We start from the raw sequence: 22,179 nt of genomic DNA on the forward strand, positions 1-22,179 counted from the left end.
GAGGGTGGGGGTTCTCTCTAAACCAACATAATATTTTTGCCACAGCTGGGCGAGGACAATGCTTAGGTAAAGCCTAAGGAGTCTGAGCGGACTTCGGTCAAGGCAGGTCTTTCCCAGCACCGAGGAGGTGAGAATAAGATAATCCACGCTTCGCTTTCTTTGAGGCCTTGCTCAAAAAAAATTTTTTTTTTTTTTTTGGAGACAGAGCCTCCCTCTGTCAGCCAGGCAGGAGTGCAGTGGCATGATCTCGGCTCACTGCAACCTCTGCCTCCCTAGCTCAAGCAATTCTCTAGCCTCAGCCTCCTGAGTAGCTGAGATTACAGGCGTGAGCCACCACAGCCAGCTAATTTTTGTATTTTTAGTAGAGATGGGGTTTCACCATGTTGGCCAGGCTGGTCTCGAACTCCTGACCTCAGGTGATCTCCCGCCTCGGCCTCCCACAGTGCTGGGATTATAGACATGAGCCATAGTACCCAGACTTTCCTTAAGCTTTTAAAAGCTCAACTTACAAAAGTGTTCTTTTATTTAAATACGACAGGTGTGAGCAATCGAGATTTAGGGTTCCTTTGATTAACCTTCGGTCCCGTCCACGAAGTGGTGAACTGAACATCATTAAAGCTTCCACACAGATTTTACAAGTGCGACGTGCTCACATTCCCCTAAAAGCTCCACTGTCTGTTGCATCCTTGTATTTTTTTTTTGACAGTAAAGCTGATAAGCAGCGGGGCTGTGTTTTTTTTAATGAGCCTGGGTGCACGCGTGGAGGGATCACAATTACACCAATAACAAAAATACACAATTGAAATTTTAGTCTCACGGCTGAGGCATCACTTTAATTGATCAGATTCTCTTAAATATTTCAATTCTTAAAATGCTAAATATGCCTAATTCTAACACAGAAAATGCTTTATTTCTTCATTCTAATTTTTGCAACGTTGAAAGATGCCTACGACTGAGAGATGAAAATACAAGCGGACAATGGACCGACCACATGTAAAAGCAGACATCAGACCCACAACCAGCACAGGAAACCAAGCCCTTACCGGCAAGGAGCAGCCCAGGATGCCCGCCTGCTATCTGCAAATCAGACGTGCAGGAGTCCTGATCGCTGTCCCTAGTGACGATCCAGAAAGCTGAGCAACAGTGCCGTAACAATCAGCCCCAGCTGGTCAGAGCTTAACAACTCACAGCTGCCCCGACTTCTGCCCTGACGTCCCATTGAGGACAGACGGAGAAAGACAAACGTGCTCCCCCGACACTCACACGGGACGCCCCGATTCCATTTGCCGCCCCAGCTCCCAGGCCAGCAGCCTCCATCGGGGCTCACCGGGTGCCTTCCCTTCCCCGGGAAGCTCCCACGCCCAGCCTGCCGGAGTCTCTGCGAAAATGCAGGTGATGGTGGTCGGCTTCCTAACTCTGAGGAGCTCGGGATAAGCAGCCTCTGTCTGTTGTCATTTGGGCAGTCTTTGCTTATTTACACCCTACTAAGGAAACAATTTGAGGCTCCCGAGTAATTTTGAGGGTGGCCTTCCCAGCTTGATGAGGTTTTGTAAACCGTCTGGGGGGAGACACATGGTGCCTGAATTATGATCTCATTTTAAGGTAGTGTCACAACCTCAATTTTTCAGTTTCTTTGTAAAGTCAGTAACCTCCATCTAGACTTCTATATCCCCCGATTAACCTCTGCACTAAATTCTATGTAAATAACTTTAAACTAGCTCCTAAGTTCTGAAGATCTTGGGACATGACAACGCCGTATTCTTTTTAAACCTTCTTTTCTGGATAGGTGACATCTTATTTGGATTCTAATACTCTTAGGCCACATCTCTCTTTAAAGAGGTCACTCCTAGTATAGGAGGGAGACAGAATCCTGTTCACTCCAACAGGGTCCCCTCCTGGGTAGAGGGGCAGAGATTCTCTCTTTGGGAAAAGATGAGGAGAGGATTGGGCTTCTCCATGACCCGTCTCATTGCGGTGAGACACTTCTCAGGAACACCTCTGCTGTCAGACATGCCTGACAAAGCTGGGTCGTGGGGAAAGGCCTCCGCCGTCAGACATACCTGACAAAGCTGGGTCCTGGGGCGGATGCTGTTCAGGTGTCAGGAGGCCCCTTCTGTGGGGATAACTGTGTAAGACACCTCGCTTGGGGCTGACCCATACGAGATGTTTAACGATGGCATGTCTCTGGCTCTCTCCCCAGACGGTCTTGGGTGGTTTTGTTCCCCACATATCAAAGAGGGCAAATGAGTTGAATGCCTGCTGTTTGTATCTCACACATGAGAAGGAAACAATTTGTTCCTTAGAAAAGGGAAACGCTATGATCGCTCATGGTTTTTATCAGATGCTTCACATGTTTTGTTGGCGGCCTGTGGAAAGAGCATGGTTCTCTGCTGTTGCTGGGCAAGGCTGCTGGCCTCCGAGGGGAGGGACGGATCCTAAGGAAGGCCGGGCACCCACCGCATTCGGCCAGAAAACAAAGCTGTGGTGGAAGGCGGGGACAGTTGTTGGGCCCTAAGTATTGAAGCCATGATTTACCTTCGATTATCTCTCTTTCGGGCCCTAAGATGGAATTCTCAATTTCCTGATTCCATCACCGGCCCCTCCCTCTTCTTTCCTTCTCTGATTAATTTCCCACCTTTATCTGGCCATCTGCACACACATCCCTGTGTTTGTGGGTAATACTGATCCTTCTTTATTTCCTTATCTTACCTTGCTCAACGAAGATTCGAAGAAACTGAAGGGACACAAACAATGCTCTAGAAAGAAAAAACTCATTTAATTAAAAAGCAAGAAGAGGATGAGAAGAAACTAGGATGCAAGGATGGGGTCAGAGACCAGAGGTGACTCCATCCAGAGGAAAGTCCAGCATGCCCCACATTTGGCCTCACACAGGGGAGGCCTCATTAGGACCAACAGTGAGGCTTCCCCTTAGGCCACTCTATTTGATACTGAAAATGAGGGTGCTCAGGGGCTGCCATGTGCCTGTTTTATTATTATACAAGGAGGTCTATGCCAACTACATTTATTAGGATGGGATGTTTTCTTTGTGTCGTTTCCCACTTGACCCAGTGTCTGAACAGTGACTGATAACTTGTGTGTGTCATAGTAAGTGAAATACAAAGGATGAAAGCCTGATTATCTTCATGTACTTAAATTGCTTCTCCCTTAAGACCCTGAGCTCTGCCTCATTACCCAGCTGTGTTGTGTAAACCAGTAAGTATCTGAGACAGGTCTCAACCAATTCAGAAGTTTATTTTGCTAAGGCTGAGGACTAAACTCTGATTTTTTTTATCTTGCCCAAATTCCTATTGAAGGGGTCTGGGGAGTCACGCCCTGCAAACTATAAATTCTCATCAGATGGGTTTTATTTAACCTGTATATCATGACTTACTTTTCCAACCTGACTCTGGCATAACATTACAAGACAAGGAAGAAAATCAAAATATTTTACCCCAAAACATGTATCTTTGCCATATTTTGAAATGGCCCTGCAAAGCTGTTCTTTGTAGGGGGAAATTTTGCATCTGTAAAGAATCTCTGTTAACATAACTGGATCTTTTTCTTCCAGGCCTTCTCAATCCTGAAGAGATTAACTAAGATCCGAATAGGAAGGCCGGGCGAGGTGGCTCACGTGCCAATCTCAGCACTTTGGGAGGCTGAGGTGGGAGGATCACAAGGTCAGGAGTTCACGATCAGTCTGGCCAACGTGGTGAAAGCCCGTCTCTACTAAAAATACAAAAAATTAGCCGATGTGATGGTGTGCACCTGTAATCCCAGCTACTTGGGAGGCTGAGGCAGGATAATTGCGTGAACCCAGAAGGCGGAGGCTGCAGTGAGCCGAGATTGTGCCATTGCACTCCAGCCTGGGCAATAATGTGAGACTCCGTCTCAAAAAAATAAATAAATAAAAAAAATAAAATCTGATAGGAAACATTAGTCATCTATTGTCTCTAAGGGGAGCCACTATAAGACTTCACAAGAACTTTGGTTTCCACAGTCTTTATCTTAACCTGAACATTCCCTTTCTATCAATCCCAGGTCTTTAGACAAACTCAACCAATTGTCAACCAGAAAATGTTTAAATTCACCGATAGCCTGGAAGCCCCCACTTTGAGTTGTCCCACCTTTCTGGACCAAACCAAAGTATTTCTTAAATGTATTTGATTGATGTCTCATGCCTCCCTAAAATGTATAAAATCAATCTGTGCCCTGACCACCTTGGGCACATGTTCTCAGCACCTCCTGAGGGCTGTGTCGTGGACCATGGCCACTCATATTTGGCTCAGAATAAATCTCTTCAAATATTTTACAGAGTCCAACTCTTTTTGTTGATAACAAATGCCCCTTCATGCATTTGTAATTTTTTTCTGTACTCTTCATCTACTTTATCATAATCCCCTTATTACAAGGTTTTTATAGCCATTATTTTAAGAGCTCTCTAGTACTCCATAAAATTCATGGATCATGAATTGCTTAATCATTCCTCTGTAATAGGACTTTAGGGTTGTTTTTATTGATTTTGGTACATTTGTAATTGTTTTGGTATTTCTAGTATAGACTGAGATTGAGGCAAAATATAAATTTTCTAAGATTTTTGAAAATATTGTGAAATTGCTTTCTAAAATATTTACATCAATTCTCAGGCAAACTGTTCCTATGGACAAATAGCTTTTAATAATCCTAACAGACAGGCCTGAGCCAGCACATCATTAACTCGGCTTGTTCCTAAAGACAGCCTTTGACAGAGCTTCTTCCACCCTGCGGGTCTAGAGAGACAGAGATGCAGGGTGGTAGGAGTGAGAGTCGCCTCTCTCTTCTGTCAGCTCTGAGGACTCTACCAAGGACTGGAGGGGGACTCACTGCAATCACCAGTGCTTCCAGGAAGCAGTGCTGTTGCAAATGAGCCATCCGAACACACTAGCTTATAAGAAGTGCTCAGAGGACCTTGAATCGTGAAGCAGCTGAAGGCACCACTGGGAATAAATTATGAAATTTAACTAAGATTATCAGAGTCCCTTTCTCAAATTTTATATTTTGGGTGATTGTGTCTATGAGAGGAGGGTATTTTTGGAATTTTAAACCATGACATTAACTAATATAGTTGATGTGAAAGTGGGTAATTCATTGTTAAATTATATTTGAAGGGCAATTTAAGTTTATGGGTGACTTGCTGCCGGGATCCTTGCCAACAGCATGGAAGTAAGAAGGCATCATCTTTCAACACCCAGGTAACCAACGATGGGCTGCCTGTCCTTCTGCTCCCCTGACGTGAAACTGGAGAAGGACACGTCTCCCAGTTAACCCGAATCAGTCAGGAGGTGGCAGCCAGTTTGGGACATTTTGTAAAACAATGGCCCTGGGCAGTTGAAAACTGTCTGTGTTCTGGGAGACAGGCAGGCCGAGAAACTGCTCAGTAATAAGAGGTGACAGGGACAGGAACAGGGACAGGGACGGAGCAGCTGGGAGCAGTGCACCTCCTCTGGGAGACAGGCAGGCTGAGAGTCTGCTCAGTAATAAGGAGGTGACAGGGACAGGGACAGGGACAGGGATGGACCAGCTGGGAGCAGCGCGCCTCCTCGACTGGATTCCAGAAGAAAGGCTCTACAAAGGACGTGACCGCCCTGCCTGGGCGCGCTGAGATGCTGACGCATGCACAACGGCAATGCCCCCAAGTGTGGTGGCTGCAGGGCTGCTGGTGGAGAATTCCCTGCCCAGGGGAGCCCTGTGCTGGGAGGCACCGTGTCCTCCGTCCAGGCTCGCTCTCAGATGGCCTAGCCCAGCGAGGGGCAGGAGCGACAGCAAATGGGAAAAGGACGGCCCAGTGGGGATGCCGAGACACTCACATAGTTTTCTAAAAGTCATTGACTTCTATATGCCTCGGAGTTGAGAATCAAACTGGTAAAAATGTTAAAAGCAACTAAGTTGGAGTGAAAGGGTTCGAGTGGATCCCACGGGACCCCAGACAGCATTTCCCAGACTCAAGTGAAGACGCAGACCCGGGTTAGAGATCCTTCGTGCTACAAATGTGGCAACACCTTGTTTATTTAGAGTAAGATGTGTTAACATCCAGCATGACAAAATTTGTACAAAGTTCACAATTTAAAAATGAAGTATCACAGCAACTTGTGATTCCACACATTTATAGCAAAATTAAAGTGTCAACAAACCCATGCCGTGTAGTACAAAAATAAATCAAACTTCAGTTCCACAGAGAGCACAATAAATAGTTTATACAAAATTCTGTCTTAATAAATGATTACTTAAATTAACTTAGAAATGAATATGAACAATAAGTTATAATAAACTCTGATGACTCACAATAATCCATATGAAAGGTCAGCATTCTAATATGTGACACTTTTGTGATCCCTATATAATAGTCACAGATAACTTTTGATTTGAGATTATGTACCAACGTTAGATGAGCAGCAGGTTTGTGCTTAAAATCCCTTTCCATTGTACATAGGTGATAACAATAAGAATCCAAAACTGATACTATCTAGTACTCTACTAAAAGCATTACTATATTGGCAAAGAAGCTGCAGACACAACGCGGTGGGGAAATGCATATGCTGTTATGAACAATGGGGGCCCTAAAGGCAGCTGGGGCCCTGGGCCACACGGACGGCCTCAGGTGACTGCAAGCACCTTGCTTCAGCTCTCAAAACGCATTCTGAGCATGGCAGCTGCAACCAATAGCACAACAGAAAGGGGGCGCTGTACAGAGAAGGTTCCGCAGAGCCCCGAAATAATTACATCGTCTTTTCCCAGCTAGTTATTAAAGTCCTTGTGGAAAACTGTAAGCTTTTGTACAGTGAACAGTATAAAGTGCCGCTGGGATATACATATATTTATACACATATATATATACCGAGGTTGAGTATTGTATCAGAATATTCGTCGTGAGATCCCTGTAGTCTCCCTTTGCAACATTATTGATCAGCCGTGAGGGCTCCTCTATAATCCATCCAGGTTCAGTGTCACAAGGCTACTGACACGAGGAATTGCACACCTCCGTACGGATATATAGGACAAGGTAAGTGCAAATAGTCGACTGGCACATTGTGGGGACAATGACCCTGTAAGTCCTGTTCTGCTAAAAATATTTTTTTTTTATTTTTACAAAACCCATCTTTTTTTTATTTCATAACAAAAATTTAAAGTACGTCTGTACTTCCTGCATAACATCAAGACATGGAAGGAAGAGATGCTACTAAATGGAACTCAAGTCAACATCAGAAAACACAACACGTCGTCAAAGGACTACTCAGAAGGGGGAACACAGCGCTCAAAAGTGGTCTTATGCATACATATAGTGCAGTCATTGGGAGTAAAACAATCAAATCTGGAAGGTATAAACAAGTCTAAGATGATCTAGTTTAAAGCAAAAAAGTGCTGAAGTATATTTAGTTACTTTTAAAATCTGATTGCATTCATTCTTAGAATAGTCACAAGAAATCAAACAATGAGGCTCTGCAAATGCTCTATGGTCAACTGGTCTCCACCCAAGTGTAGAACAGAAACGTCGTGGTAAGAGTCCTCTGAATAGGACCAAATGCTGATTCAGAGTCAAAGTCGGGCGGGGGGAGCAGGAGGGAAACTTTACCGAGCTGCCTTCCCACCAGATCCAGCAGAAAACTCGGTCCAGTAACTAGAAGACTCACAAATCATTTGCCTTTATCCCTCAAATGTAAAATAAGAAGGTTCATAACAATAATAGGAATAATCATAATTTTTTAAAGTGAAAAGGGGAAATAAATGTTCTTAAATTATCTTTTAGCTTAAATCGAAAACACACAAATTCTGTTGATAAACTACATTGCAATAACAGACAGTTCAGAGGGGCACGAAACTCTAGGGGAGATACGAGAAGGTTGTTCCAAAGTTTATTGAAAATGGAAAAGGAAATCTTCACGTTGTCCACCTCTGATAAGATCCTGTCTTAACTGGAGTTTCCATAGTCACAACCATGTAACGCTTAGGAGTTAATTTAAAAGTGCTGTTTAAGCTGCTTTGAATCTTCTGCCAAGTTTCCATGGCTTGATGTTGTCTTACAATAAATTACTTATTTCATTTCTTACAGTTAATCCATATGCCATTTCCTTGGAATGCAAAAAACCTCATTTATTGCCCCCACCATACACCATCCTCCTAAAACAAACAAACAAAAAAGTCACATAATATTTCCAAGCATTGTTCAAAAATAAAGCATTTTTGCAACGAATTCTTGCTATGAAACAATATGCACACAAAATGTATTTCTTAAATTCCATAAAGTCCTCCAACATGAGGCAAAATGATAACGTCTAAAAAGCGGCTGCTCAGCCACAACATGATCATTCAAAGCTGTGGGTCTGTGTGTGCGTGTGTGTGTTTGTGTGTCCATTTCAGTTCAAAATACTAAAACATTTAATCACTAAAGCATTAAAAAGAATTTACACTCTATTTATTTTGATCAGCTTACCTCTTCAGAAATAGATATACCCCCAAATGTGCATACATCAGCAGCTATAAACATTACATGGCAGAACACTATGTCAGCTTACATGGAAACGTACAAAATGTGGGTGTATTCAAAAACTATTCTGCAGGTACTATCTTTAAAGCAAGACATAAAATCATTATGAAGTCTTGTAAGCATAACACTGTTTCAAATTCAAACAGAAATAAATATAGAACACTTTCTGGTAAGTTACAGCAGCAAAAAACAAGAGGCATCCTTTTTAAGCAAGAGTTTCATCACTACAGCAGCTGTTCAGACCTGAATTCCTCTCACAGCCTGCTTTATATTTTCCAGTAGGGCTTTATTTTCTGGACTCTGATAACGATCTTGATTTGTATACATTTCCGTCAAAGTAGTCACGTAAGCATCAAAATTTTGTTCATTGATTGGATCCTACGAGATATTAAATAGTAGTTCATATACAACTTTTATTTTCTTAATAGTATATTTACAAAAGCATAAAATAGTATCATAGCATAGTGCCCCTGGTTTTATACTATTTCAAAGGCCGGCTCAGAGCACACTTAAGTTTCTGGGGTCAGCCCCGCCCATGTTTCTAGCAGTTAATGGTATGGTTTCGGGGTGGTAACCACAAACATTTGCCAAAGGCTGAAGAACCATGAAAATAACGATAAAAACGGCATCTACTTTAGGCTGTGCGCTGTGGAGGACTCCACATTCCTGCCTTGCGTGCTCAGTCACTTACCATGTGCGGCAGCTGGATGTTAGCCAGGCTGTGGATCAGAGACTGGCTCAGGTTCGCCAGCTCGTGGAGGAGAGACTCGTTCTGCTGCTCAATCACTTTGTTCTCCTCTTCGATGGTCTTCAGGTTGCTCTCCATCGTGGTAATCTGAAACGCACAAGTGTGCGTGACATGTAACACCAGGAGGACCTAGGAGCGCGTGGTCGTTGCCGGGGGCCACAGTCTACTGGGTGCGAAGAAGGGGCCTCTCGCTGAAGGAGAAAGGCTTCGGGCCGGGCGCCGTGGCTCACGCCTGGAATCCCAGCATTTTGGGAGGCCAAGACAGGCAGGTCACTTGAGGTCAGGAATTCAAGACCAGCCTGGCCAACGTGGTTAAACCCTGTCTCTACTAAAAATACAAAAATTAGCTGGGCGTGGTGGCGTGCGCCTGTAATCCCAGCTACTCGGGAGACTGAGACATGAGAATAGCTTGAACCCGAGAGGCGGAGGTTGCAGTGAGCTGAGATCACACCATTGCACTCCAGCCTGGGTGACAGACCGAGATTCCGTCTCACAAAAAAAAAAAAAAAAAGGAAAAGAAAAAGGCTTCCGTGGTGATAGCTTGTCATTGAAGGACCTGCTGCCTATGCTTTGGATTCATTGCACTTGACAACTGGGGAGCTGAGACTGTTTCCCTGCGCGATCCTGTTCTCTCAGCCGGCCTGATGGGACTGCAGTGTGTAGGGGGCTTGATGCGAATACTTCTCCTTTCTAGCCTGAATAAAATTCTGCCACAGCTAAGTCCTCCAATGCTCATTTCTGTGTGGAGGTGTCACTGTGTCTTCAGATGGCACCAGGCTGGCACTGTGCCCACAGGGTGGTCTTCCTGCATTTCTCTAAGGAAAAAGGCCCACCACGGACCCTTCCTCGCATATTCCAGAGATAATTTAAGTATCACCAAGGTCAAGGGGCTTGAGTTCAGGGCCTCTGCCTATAACCGCACAGGACTAGCTTCACACGCAGCAGGCGGGGAGCTGCCCTGCCCATGGGGGTGTCTGCCTTGGGCACCCAAGGGTGCCTCTGCCGTGCATGATCTGGGGCTTCTTCCTGGAAGACCGGGCCGACCCGCAGAGTCCAGGGCTGGCTTGCCTGGCCTGCCCGCTCCTCTCCTTCCCTGACGTGTCATTCCTAAGTCCTCTCACGAGAGTCTCTCCTCCTCTCCCTGTCGGCCCTGCCTTCTCCTATGTTCTGGCCCTCCCTTGGCTGTACTGGGTCAAATCCCGGGTTCTCCCAGTCACCAGCCTCAGGCCCAGACCCTCTGTTAGAAAACTGAAGCACCTCAGAGGCGCCCTCCAGGATGAAGTGGGGAGGGCCGGCCTTCTCCTTGGAAGGAATCGCAGCCCCCACCATTCCTGCAGGGACGGTCCCCTGTGGAGAACACACTGAAATCACACAGATTTATTTCCATGCACGTCCTGGGTGACCTTCTCATTCGTGTTCTTTGGGGTTATTTATCAAATTAATGTTCCCCTCCCAGCCGCCCCCTTGCAGGCTCAGGAGTGGATGCCTGCCCTCCCACGACTCCTGGGTGGGCCTCGAAGGGCTGCGTGCCCGGTGCTTGTCTTCCAGAGCGTTCTGTAGCCCTTCCTGGGTGGCCACGTGCCTGCACTCACAGCTGGTGGCAGCTGTGGCTGGGACCTTACTAGAGATGATGTCAGTGTAAGCAGACGTAGGTTTTCTATGACGGAATCTAATCTAGAATGAGGCGTCATGGCCCAGGTCCCGAGGTTTTTAAAAAGGTACACGCAGGGGGAAGGCCAGCAGCAGGATGGGCACCTCTGCAGTTTCCCTGAGCAGAGGGCGGCTCCTGCCCTTTGCATCTGGTGGCTTTCCTAGACGGTGGCTGCTACAGGCCCCTCGGCCCCTCCTGTCTGTGCTCAGGGAACCCTGCAGAGGCCTCGCCATCGCTGGCCCTCAGCGGGCCCTCCTGGATGAGCCCAGCCCAGCTCGCCTCTGGTTGAGCATCTCAGAGGTGCTTCTGGCTATTCCACTATCCTAGCCAGGCAAAGTGTGGGCTCTTTTTCTGGAAAATGGGAATAATGCTCCTTGCATTATGAACTCACACTGAGCTGTGCAGTGTGTCTGCAGTGAGAAGACATTTGTTATTCCTGGGGCCTGTGATCTGGTCTTAGGGGCCCAGAGTAAACGGAAGTCCAACTGCTCCCCCGGCTTAGCGGAGAAGCAGCCTGTGGGGTGACCAAGGCAGGGGCGGCACCCTGTCTCATTGTCCCCAGCAAAATTCTTGGGGACACATTTTAGATCCATTCCTCCTTCAACTTATGTTCTCTGCTGGAAAGTCTAGCCCCTTCTGCAGAGGCAGAGATATCTTCCTATGTTCAGGAATCTCTGTGAGACTCAGGAGTTAGGCTGTTCCTTCCCGTGCTACCCGGGTCTGTGGCTGGGATGGGGGTGGCGGGGCTCCCATGCTTATAAATGCTTTGCTTTTCTCAAAATGGAACAAATCTCATTGTGTTAAATCTGCTTAGCTGTGGAACAAAATATGCAGTTTGAACAAACATCCCATCAAAGCCCTGGCCAAAATGATAATCTCCTGAACCAGGCTGCTTGGTGAGCCCCGTCCAGGGTCAGAGAGAATGTCTGGAGACCCAAAACCAGAACCGACGGGTATCTGCCAGGTCTTGCAGCCTCACCTCCCTCAAGTGCATCCCCCGTGGCCCCTGAATCTCCTGCATCTCCAGCCCACACACGAAGGGCCCCGGGCTTCTTGCACGTGGACACACGTTTGCTTCCCTGAGCCTTCCTCCAGGGTGGCAAGAAGCTGAGTGTCTCAGGGTCACTGCTGCCCGTTCCTTACTATCCTAGCCAGACAAACTGTGGGCTCTTTTTCTGGAAAATGGGAGTAATGCTCCTTGCCCACAACATCAACTCACACTGAGATGTGAGGCATGTTTGCAGTGAGAAGACATTTGTTATTCCTGGGGCCTCTGACCCAGCCTTAGGGGCCCAGAGTAAAGGGGAGCCCTCTCAGAACGTCTTGGAGCTGGCCAGCACGCTGCGGCGGTCATGGGAGACAGCACTGCTGAGAAAGGTGATGTAGGGGCTCCGCCCAGGCCCTCATACGCCAGGCCTCCTCCGAGGATGGGGCTGAGCAGGCTGGGGAGGGGCACAGAGGCCGGTGTCTCCCTTCCAAACCCAACCCACAGCAGCCACAGTACATGGTTCCTGGCACTCAGAAGGCATCCCTGATCACAGGTGCTTACGCAGGGAGGGGCCTGTGTCGCGAGTGGGTGTGGGGGCCTGGCTGGGAGCTGGGCCGGCCACCTCGGCCGTCATCAATGATGTGCGCTGGCGGACCTGAGTCTGCATTTCCAGAAACATCGAGTTGCCTGTGGTAAAGCAGGGAGCCCTCTGACGAAGGTGGGTTCTGTTTTTGATTGTTTAAGAAACATCAAAGGTTTTTCAGGCTGCTAGGAAGCAGTGCATTCCCGGATCTTCCCAAGAAAGTTCCTGCATCAGCAGCAGCCTGATGGCCAGTCTAGGCCCAAACCCGCATTTTTACAGACTTGTCCACACCCTCTGTCTTTCCAGACCTCAGCGTTTCTTAGATTGCGCAGTCTCTGACCACACCTGGAGTAGAGAAAGGTCAAATCTAGCCTGGGGCCTGACATTGAAAGCTAAGACTAAGCTAAGAATGGCGTTTGCATTTTTTAGTGGTAAGAAAAAAAACAAAAACAAAAGAATAACAGCATTTTGTAACATATAAGAGCTATTAAATTCCGACTGCAGCACCACGTGACGCTGTGTTGAAACAGGGTCACACTCACACGTGTTTTGAGGCTGTCACACTGCAACACAGCTGCGTGGTCCAGAAGCCTAAAATATTTGCCATCTGGTCCTTTATAGAAAATGTTTGCCAATCCCTGGTCTAGACTAAGTACCTTGATGGCGTGATGTGTTTAGAAAACATTTCCGGAAGAAGTGTAAAATGGGTGGGAATCCCAAGGCGTTAGCAGTGGGGTGGTGGAAGGGTGTAACCCCAAGGAAAGTGTCCTCGTGCAGGGAGGACTGCCTCCTGCCCATGCCCGTGCTGACCAGGGAGGCTGGATCACAGAGAGGCTTAGCCCCAGGGAGAACAGCCATCTTCTGAAAGTGGTGCAGGCTGTGGGATTAACTGACCTGCCAATCTTAGAAGTCAAGCTGCACAGGGCTGTTCACTCTGGTCCATCTGGGCCCTCGCACCAGGAGCTGGGGGGTTTCTTGTGAATAGCCTGTCCTGAAAACACGAGCTCCCTTTTATACTCAAATACCCCCATCCCCACCTCCCTGACAAATGCCTGCTGTTTGGGCCACGGGGGGCAGCATCCCAGCCTCCCAGCCGGCTCCGAGCCATCCTCCTTCTGCTCCTGCTGTTTCCTGTGCCTGGAGTGCTCCTTTCCCTCCTCCACCTCCCGTGTCTGCAGGACTCCCGCCGTCTCTCCTCGGGCTCCTTGCTCCAGGCCCCCACGGTGGGGTCTCGAACTCCGGCTCTCAGCACTCATGTGGTTCACACAAATGCCGCTTGCCCAGGCCGTGCCCTGCACTTGAGTCCCCTGCTCTCTCCTCCTCAGCGGCAGTTTTGTTTTTTTCCGGATTCTGATAACAAGCAACTTCTGGGTGTCCCCTGGGGCCGAGGGCAAGCTTTTCTTGTCTCTGCTCCGGGCTCTGGTGTGAACTGAGTTGAATCGGATGAGATGCGTCTGGGGAATCGTGGAGTCCAGAACCAAGGCTTGGGTGTGTCCAGCTTGGGTGCTTCAGCCCTTGAAGCTGAGGCCACACTGAATCCAGTTGAATGGGGTTGGGGAAACGCAGACCCCACAGGCACCTCGGCCGTTCTGCTGGTGCTGGGCCACCCCCAGAGGAAGCCTGCATTAGAGACTGGGAAGGGACCGGTGTCCGGACTTCTTTTTTTTTCTTTTCCCGCCCATGGCGCGATCTTGGCTCTCTGCAAGCTCCACCTCCTGGGTTCACGCCATTCTCCTGCCTCAGCCTCCCGAGTACCTGGGACTACAGGCGCCCGCCACCACGCTAGGCTTTTTTGTATTTTTAGTAGAGACGGGGTTTCACCGTGTTAGCCAGGATGGTCTCGATTTCCTGACCTCGTGATCTGCCCGCCTCGGCCTCCCAAAGTGCTGGGATTACAGGCGTGAGCCACTGTGCCCGGCCAGGGGCCCGGACTTCTGATTGCGTTTGTGTGAGGTGAAGACCCCGACGCAGACTCTTCTTTTCAAGCTGCCAAGCATAAGAATGGATTTTTCAGCCACATAGGAATTGTGTTGGTCGCACTAATTGGACCTCAAATAGCATTTAAACACATTCCAAATTGGAAACCTCATCTTCTCAATTAAATAAAATTGCGTTTGTCCTAATTTGAATTCTTACAACTGAACAGTGAAAAATACCTTTCCAAGTTTTAGTAAGAACACTCCTGGGCTTGAGAGGTAACAAGCAACCCCTTCCGCAGAGAGTGGCAGGAGAGGCCTTTCCTGCATCCGGCACAGGCGCGGCGGTCTCCCCCCATCCGGCACAGGCGCGGCGGTCTCCCCCTTCTCCGGCACAGGCGCGGCGGTCTCCCCCTTCTCCGGCACAGGCGCGGCGGTCTCCCCCTTCTCCGGCACAGGCGCGGCGGTCTCCCCCCATCCGGCACAGGCGCGGCGGTCTCCCCCCATCCGGCACAGGCGCGGCGGTCTCCCCCTTCTCCGGCACAGGCGCGGCGGTCTCCCTCCATCCGGCACAGGCGCGGCGGTCTCCCTCTTCTCCGGCACAGGCGCGGCGGTCTCCCTCCATCCGGCACAGGCGCGGCGGTCTCCCTCCATCCGGCACAGGCGCGGCGGTCTCCCTCTTCTCCGGCACAGGCGCGGCGGTCTCCCTCCATCCGGCACAGGCGCGGCGGTCTCCCTCCATCCGGCACAGGCGTGGCGGTCTTCCCCATCCGGCACAGGTGTGAAATTTAAAGGCTTGGACGGAGTTTCCTTTTTCCTTCTCTTGGATTTGTTCTTTATCAGATTTAAATCTGGACCTCTCCCTGTGCAGGACCCTCATCACCGGGCTGTAGGCCTGAGCACTGACCCTACCGTTCTTTCCTCCGCTCCCATTCCAGAGAGAACATCAGGCCGTGGGCACCCACTTCTCAGTTATCTCATGGCTTGGGCTTGGGACAGGCCTGCAGCCCTGTGTCATCTCTGGCTTGGGCTCTGTGCACAGGTCTGCATCCTCGTGTCAGTGTGTCTTGAACATGTCATGACGCACTGGGAGAAGTCTGCCTTTCTCTTGGGTCAGAGTGGACAAGAAAACACGGGGTCTGGGCCAGTTCCCCTTCCTGGCCATGCTCCCTGAGGGTGTGCGGGCCTGAGAGGCACGGGAAAGTCAGGACCTTCTAAAGGAAAATGCAAGGGGCATGAAGGCTGCTGCAGGAAGGCCGAGGCCATCAGGCAGGGCCGCTTTATGCCCTGGAGAGCTGGCCTGCCCCACGTTCCTCCTCCATACTCCCCGGGCAGTGGCCGAGGCACAGGCAGCAAGGAGGGCTCCTGGCTGTGGGCGCACATTGTTTTCTGGTAAGTTTTGCTCCAGATCTAACCTGTTTAAAGAACATCAGGCTCTAAGCTGCCTGAGTCAGCAGCTGCCTGTCTCTGAGCTCAGGCCTGGTGCTCACAGAACAACTTCTGGGCTGGAGCTCATCATCCGACCCTGAGAGCTGCAGAGCTGGGGGACTCCGGCTCAGCGCATTCCCATCCCTTCTAGAATAGAGGAAGGTCCATCCCTGGGCACATCTGGGAAGTCACCTCTCTCATCAGCCGAGTCAGTGAGAATAAATGTGAACTCTTCACATTCATTTTTGACATCAGGTCCAAATAGATGCTGTTAGGAGCAACTACTCATCTCAGAGATAAAGGCACAAAGGAGCCAGTGAGAACAGACACAGACCTGAGTGTTTCCTGAGGGGGAGGCCACGCCCGTGCAGGTGCAGAGCGTGCCTGGGGTTCCTACTCTAAGCAGCCTGCGTAGGCACATGCGTTGTTCTTTAGGGCTCAGATCCAGGCGGCATGACCTCTAAGCCTACTCAGCCCTCGGCTGAGCCCCAGCCCCAGTACTTCATCCACAGCTGGCATCAGAGCTGCCGTCTATCCCTCATGGACAGCCACGGAGCAGCAGGCCTTCACTGCAGAAGGAGGGGTTTTGGAAAGTGGGAAGAACCCCCTTCCTGAATGGCATCCTATTGGAATTGGGTTGCCCCAGTAGACCATGGACTCAACACCCTGGACAGACAAGGGCATTCTGCCTCATCAGAGAGTGCCCCAAAAGGTGCCATTCAAAGGAGGAAATAAATTAAGATTTTCAGGCTTGTCACCCTCATAAACAGAATACAACTTGATATGGTTTGGCTCTGTGTCCCCACCCAAATCTCACCTCGAATTATAATCCCTATAATTCCCACCTGTGAAGGGCAGGACCAGGTGGAGGTAATTAAATCATGGGGGCGTTCCCCCATGCTGTCCTCATGATAGTGAGTGAGTCTCACAAGATCTGATGGTTTTATGAGTGTCTGGCATTTCCTCTGCTTGCACTTCTCCTTCCTGCCACCTTGTGAAGAAGGTGCCTTGCTTCCTCTTTACCTTCTGCCATGATTGTAAATTTCCTGAGGCCTCCCCAGCCATGTGGAACTGTGAGTCCATTAAACGCATTTCCTTTATAAACTACCCAGTCTCAAGTATTTATTAGCAGTGTGAGAACGGAGTAATACTCAAGGGTGAATTTTTGATCTGTCCCAATTAAACAATCTTTGCTGACTTGGTCACCTCCTACTCTCTCCCAGAAACAGCAGCTCCTGAGTGCTCTGGCAGCCATGGAGTCTCCTATACAGTCCAAGATGCTGCCTCCATGGCCTCGGCTGGTCCCGGGGGTGAGGAATGCCACAGGCTGTTACTCCATTCCCCAAGCCTAACGTTCAGGTAAGTCTTAAGGGAAATTCCAACCTGTGTTGGGTGAGCCCCAGCCAGGCCAATGCGAGACTCTGGGAAGACCTGAACACAGCCCCTGGGGCTACCAGGTCTGTGAGATCAAGGCAGTGATGCCCTCTGGGGAAGTAGGTTGGCATCAAAACACCCAGGCAGCAGCCACATGGCCTGGTGGGGAGTTCCCACCCTTGGCCTCATCCTTGGTACTCACGGGGGGCCTGGAAATCCCTTTCGGTTGCTTGGTGGGGCCCCAGCCCCAGAGGATGTCTCCATCCTTGGGAAAACTGTGTCCAGTGGGTAGAAACCACCTGTTGAGCAGAGCCGTTGACCACACCCGGCTGACTATGGGAAAGGCCCTCAACCTTCCCCAGCCTCAACCTCTGCATTTACAGAGCGGGGATAATAAGGGAGCCCTCGGAGTGTGTTAGGAGGAGAGCATCATCACGTAGATGGCTGGCGGTGACACCATCCTCATCTCCATCCAGTTCTCGGGGCTCATTCCCAGCAAACCGAGCAACCTTCATGGAGGCTGGTCAGCATCCCCCGAGAACCTCATCACACCGTGGCCTGCTGGGGAGGGGCCAGAATGGAGACCTCATTTCTAAGAGGAAGGGACACCTCTGCTCACCCTGTGGGCAATGTGAGGGTCGGGTGGTCAGCAAATAAATTCCACTCCCAGAGTGTACTTCGGCGGGACCCTAACACAGCAAGGTGGGGGATGCCAGGCACAAGGCTCATGGTCAGACAGGGTCCAGCCTGGCCTCTGTGGCTTCGGCTTGGCTGAGGAAGCTGCCTCTCCATCTTAGAAGCTGTATGTTTAAGATGAGGCTGAGGACGTTTACCCTGTGGGCTGCTTGTGGGCATGGAGGGGGTTAGGTGACCACAGCTGCTCTGCCAGCTGCCACTGCTCTCTCTCCATCCCCAGGCTCTGCAGCTGCAAGTCACTGGGGCCACTTCCCCAAATCCCAGACACCCAGGAGTCCTATGTGGCAGGCACTCCTTGTTTTAAATTCTGGGAACATCGGCTGTCGCCATACATTTAATATAGTGATTAAATAACAGGAGGACCTGAAGTATCTTGGAAGGAAAACCTTCATTGTTTGCAGGAACAGGCGATCCTCTGAAAATGCCTATTCACAAATGCACTTTATTAAAAAACACAAACACACATGCAGACTGAAAACGAGAGAACCACGGCCCCTGCTACAGCGAACACTGCCACGGAATGGTGTCTGCGGAAGACCAATATCATAAGGTGGAAAAATAAAGGAAATAAAAGAGCAAATAAGAGGAAACGACAGCTCTCCTAAAAGCTGATTTCATGCCATGTATCTCTGGTATAATGGCGCGTGTTAGAGCTAAAATTGAGGGCTTCAAAAACTGTTACCTGAGTTCTGAGTTTAATCATATCGGCTTCCATCTGGGAATTGGATTCATTTAGCTCCTTGATTTCTTCATCTAACTGTTTGATTTCTTCATCATTTTCTATACCTGTAATAATGAATATTAGTATGTTAAAACTGTTATATACAAAAATATTAGAGTTAGAATTTTGGGAGCTTTCTTTGTTCCTTTTATATTCGTAATTGAATTTGCTTGGAAAATAGACTCTTGAATTAGAAAGGAAAAAATCATCACAATCTCTGTGTCTTTCTATTCCCTACCACCGCCCCTTCCCCACCTAAGTTCCCCTACAAAAAGGAACAAACAATTGAGACGCACAGAAGACTCCCAGGCACTTTGAGGGTCGAGCTCCCAGGGACAGTTAACCTGGGTCTTAGATGTATCGAGGCAGAAACCACCTGGTCCTGAGTGCCGATTTGCTGAGCCTGGCCTGTTTTCTCCTGCTTTTGTTCTCTCTCTCGACTCGCTGTCTGCATCAGTCATTCTGCAAACACCCCAGGCTTGGAGCCAGGCTCTGCAGGTACGTTCACCAACAAGGCCAGGTCCTCCCGCCCTCACTCAGGTCAGGTTCTGGGTCGGAAAATGGGCAACAGACGTGTAACGACAAATGCCGTCCAGCAAACGCTGAGGATGACCTCACCTTACCCACCGACAGGAAGCTGTGGGAAGTGGGAGAGGGACATGGGGGCTGGCCGGAGGGAGATGGCCACAAAAGGGCTCTCTGAATATTCGACATTTAGCAAATAAAAAATCTCATTCTGAATGATTAAAAAGTATGCACTAACTAACAGAATTCCCAATTTGTAAACTCTGCCAGAATGATGACCTCGGCCAGGTGTGTACCTGACCATCTGAGTGTCCCTGGTGGGTGACTGCTGCCCTGCCGAGGTCCCTGGGGCACCTGGATCAGTCCTGGCATAGCTGGGCACAGGGCCCAGATGCCCATATTTACAAAGGCCATTCTGGACACTTGCTTCCCTGGCCGGCTGTGTCTGGTTACTGGCAACATTACACTGCCAACGCCAAAGAGAAGGAGATTCCTCTCTATTTGTGACCACTTGACCTCACACAATTGGGTGTACACAGAAGGAGAGCAGGAGTTTGGCAAACACAATCACCCTAGAAAATTCAGGATTTGAGATTGCTGTTCTCATTGGCCACACAGCACCACAATGGATCTTTACTCAAAACTAATGGAAAATGTATCCAGGCCTCCTAGGACTCCCAGTGGGTAGATGCTGTTTTCAAGCTTTGCAGACAGAAGGGCAGAAGGGGTACAATCAACCAGAGGCCGAGGCCTGAGAGCACCCCAAAAACCCTGCTGACATCAGCAGAACAGAGGTGGAGGCTCCTCTCTACCAAGACGTTAGAAAGATGAGAGTAAGAGAAAGTGATGGATCAGTGGGATTGGGCCTTAGATGCGGCTTTTAGTGAAACGAAAAAAAAGTTATACCCTCAAGATAAAAATACCCAATGCAAAAAATCCCAATTCATAAAGCAACTAAATTATGAACGAACGTATCATTTCAGAAGCATTCCCCACAAGCTTCTGTTAAACTGCAAGCATCCAAATGCCTTTAGAACACCTCCATGTGAAGGAGGCCCTCAGAACACTGGACGTGGTGAAGCTTCGACCCTCTACAGCTGTCACAGGCAAATTTCTCAAGCACATTCCTAGGAATCCCATCTCGCAGAGGCCTTTCAAAAACCTTGGACTGGGATGCTTAGTTTGAAGAATTCATGATAAATGTCAAACTAACTGGCCTATCAGGCTTTGTTATCTAATTGATCTGCCAGATCAGGTCAACTGTTCTGACAGAAGTCAGTGTCATTTTAAATCCAAATAAAAGTCTTGATACGGGTCCCATGACAACCTTTCATCTCTAATTTTGTTCTGGGAGTGATGGATGGGTGGATATTACTTCCATAGCTCTGCTCTGTCCTGGGGGACCACCCTCAGGCCCAAGTGGTCACCAACAGCCCTTTGTGGGAGCCTGGGAACGTCTCAGTCCTGGGGCTGCCCACTGCGGCTCTGTGCAGCATGCCATTCCTTTGTAAGGGGGAGGAGGGAGACAGGGAAACGGTGCCAGGAAGAACCGGCAGGTCACAGAGCATTCCCGGCCCATGAGATTCTGTAGGACGAGGGTATGTGGAAGAGGAGGGCCTGCAAACTGATTCTGTAGAGCTGTCCACAGCCACATTCCTGGGACATCCTGCGAGCCCCCAGGCACGTGCGCCTCGGCGTGAAGCCCCCTCAGGGAGAGGAGAGCTCTGGGTTGGGTGGGAATTCTCCTTATCCCTGCAGCAGGGCAGTGACTGGCCCAGGAAGCAGTCCCTGGGGTTGCTGGGGCCTCTGAGCTGAGCCTCACTTTGTGGATGGTTAGGCTGGAACTAGGGTTTTTTTGTTGTTGTTGTTTGTTTGTTTTGAGATGGAGTTTGCTCTTGTTGCCCAGGCTGGAGTGCAATGGCGTGACCTTGGCTCACTGCAACCTCCACCTCTCGGATTCAAACGATTCTCCTGTCTCAGCCTCCTGAGTAGCTGGGATTATACGTGCCTGCCACTACACCCGGCTAATTTTTGGTATTTTTAGTAGAGATGGGGTTTCACCATGTTGGCCAGGCTGGTCTTGAACTCCTGACCTCAGGTGATCTGCCCACCTCAGCCTCCCAAACTGCTGGGATTACAGGCGTGAGCCACCGCGCCCAGCCACAACTAGGGTTTTATAATACATTCCACCAGTTGGCCTGCAAGCTGTCAGGAGAAACTGCCTTTATAAAAAACTGGCCTGAGCAGGGAGGGCCCAGCCAAAAAGCAGCATCTCAGAGCCAGAAAATCCACCCACTGGACACCAAAGCAAAGAAGCAAACAAATCCTACTCAAATTAGCATAGCGTGGTCCTGGAAGATTTTGATTTACTTCAGGATCCTGGTAGCTCTTGAGAGACCAGTGTCCCATGGTGAACCCAGCCAGCGCTGGTCACTCTCACTAATGGCTTGGTGGAATTTCCATGCCTCCTGGAATTTCCTTTTCCTTACAGCTGAATAGAAACGTGAGTTCCCACAGTTTGGAGCTCTCAGGAATATTAAGCGAAATAAGTAGGTGAAGTTCCTGACAAAGCGCTTCATGTTTTCAGGGCTTGATGGAGGTTAGAGCTCCTTTCCCTAGCTTGCTTTCTGCTGTGATAGTAAAAGGAAAGAAAAAGCATTATCTTATTTCCTTCTCTCCTAAACACTGCCCCTGCCCCCACTACCCGCCAAAAAGCCACTGATGGTACAACTTCAGCCAAGGTGCCAAGGTGCTAAGAGGCATACAGTGAACTTCTGCAAAAGGGTTCTGAAGGGAGACTCACTAACAGCCACGCCGGCTGCTCAGGCAGAGCTGAGTACTAATGCGTGATGAGATCACTCCACGGATAAAGAAAATAAGGTGATCCTTGTTGGGCAGAGACATGAGAGCAGGCTCATCCCTAAACTTAAAAAAGAAAGAAAGAAAAATACTTTAGAGCCAGAAGGGAACCTCAAGGACATTTAGAATAGCTGCTTCCCTTTCAGACAAATGCTCAAGAGAAAGCGCTAAA

At 49.1% G+C, this 22,179-nt stretch overlaps 1 protein-coding gene across 28 annotated transcripts in view, besides 3 other annotated features; it reads right to left on the minus strand.

The window, feature by feature from the left end:
- MYT1L (myelin transcription factor 1 like) overlaps positions 6,002–22,179 on the minus strand; it is a 542,163-nt gene continuing 525,985 nt past the window's right edge. For 13 of the 28 annotated variants that reach the window (XM_011510326.2, XM_011510318.2, XM_017003604.2 and 10 more), the window contains 3 exons: positions 18,579–18,688; positions 9,210–9,353; positions 6,002–8,896 (listed from right to left, as the gene is read on the minus strand). In XM_011510326.2, the coding sequence (XP_011508628.1) occupies positions 8,756–8,896; positions 9,210–9,353; positions 18,579–18,688 (395 nt within the window). In that variant the 3' untranslated portion in view covers positions 6,002–8,755. Of the gene's footprint in view, positions 9,354–18,578; positions 18,689–22,179 lie in introns of all 28 variants that reach the window. The other 15 variants (NM_015025.4, NM_001303052.2, XM_011510324.3 and 12 more) reach the window with 5 other exon arrangements.
- Positions 18,634–19,135: an enhancer, noted in NCBI's record as "H3K27ac hESC enhancer chr2:1805517-1806018 (GRCh37/hg19 assembly coordinates)". NCBI's record gives its function as "activates a minimal SCP1, AML or CMV promoter by ChIP-STARR-seq in naive H9 embryonic stem cells {active_cell/tissue: H9 hESC(naive)}" and the evidence as "EXISTENCE:reporter gene assay evidence [ECO:0000049][PMID:30033119]".
- Positions 19,136–19,635: an enhancer, noted in NCBI's record as "H3K27ac hESC enhancer chr2:1806019-1806518 (GRCh37/hg19 assembly coordinates)". NCBI's record gives its function as "activates a minimal SCP1, AML or CMV promoter by ChIP-STARR-seq in naive H9 embryonic stem cells {active_cell/tissue: H9 hESC(naive)}" and the evidence as "EXISTENCE:reporter gene assay evidence [ECO:0000049][PMID:30033119]".
- Positions 20,862–21,494: an enhancer, noted in NCBI's record as "H3K27ac-H3K4me1 hESC enhancer chr2:1807745-1808377 (GRCh37/hg19 assembly coordinates)". NCBI's record gives its function as "activates a minimal SCP1, AML or CMV promoter by ChIP-STARR-seq in naive H9 embryonic stem cells {active_cell/tissue: H9 hESC(naive)}" and the evidence as "EXISTENCE:reporter gene assay evidence [ECO:0000049][PMID:30033119]".

The sequence above is a fragment of the Homo sapiens genome, chromosome 2, assembly GCF_000001405.40.
Source record: "Homo sapiens chromosome 2, GRCh38.p14 Primary Assembly".
In the NCBI taxonomy this organism is placed as follows: Eukaryota; Metazoa; Chordata; class Mammalia; order Primates; family Hominidae; genus Homo; species Homo sapiens.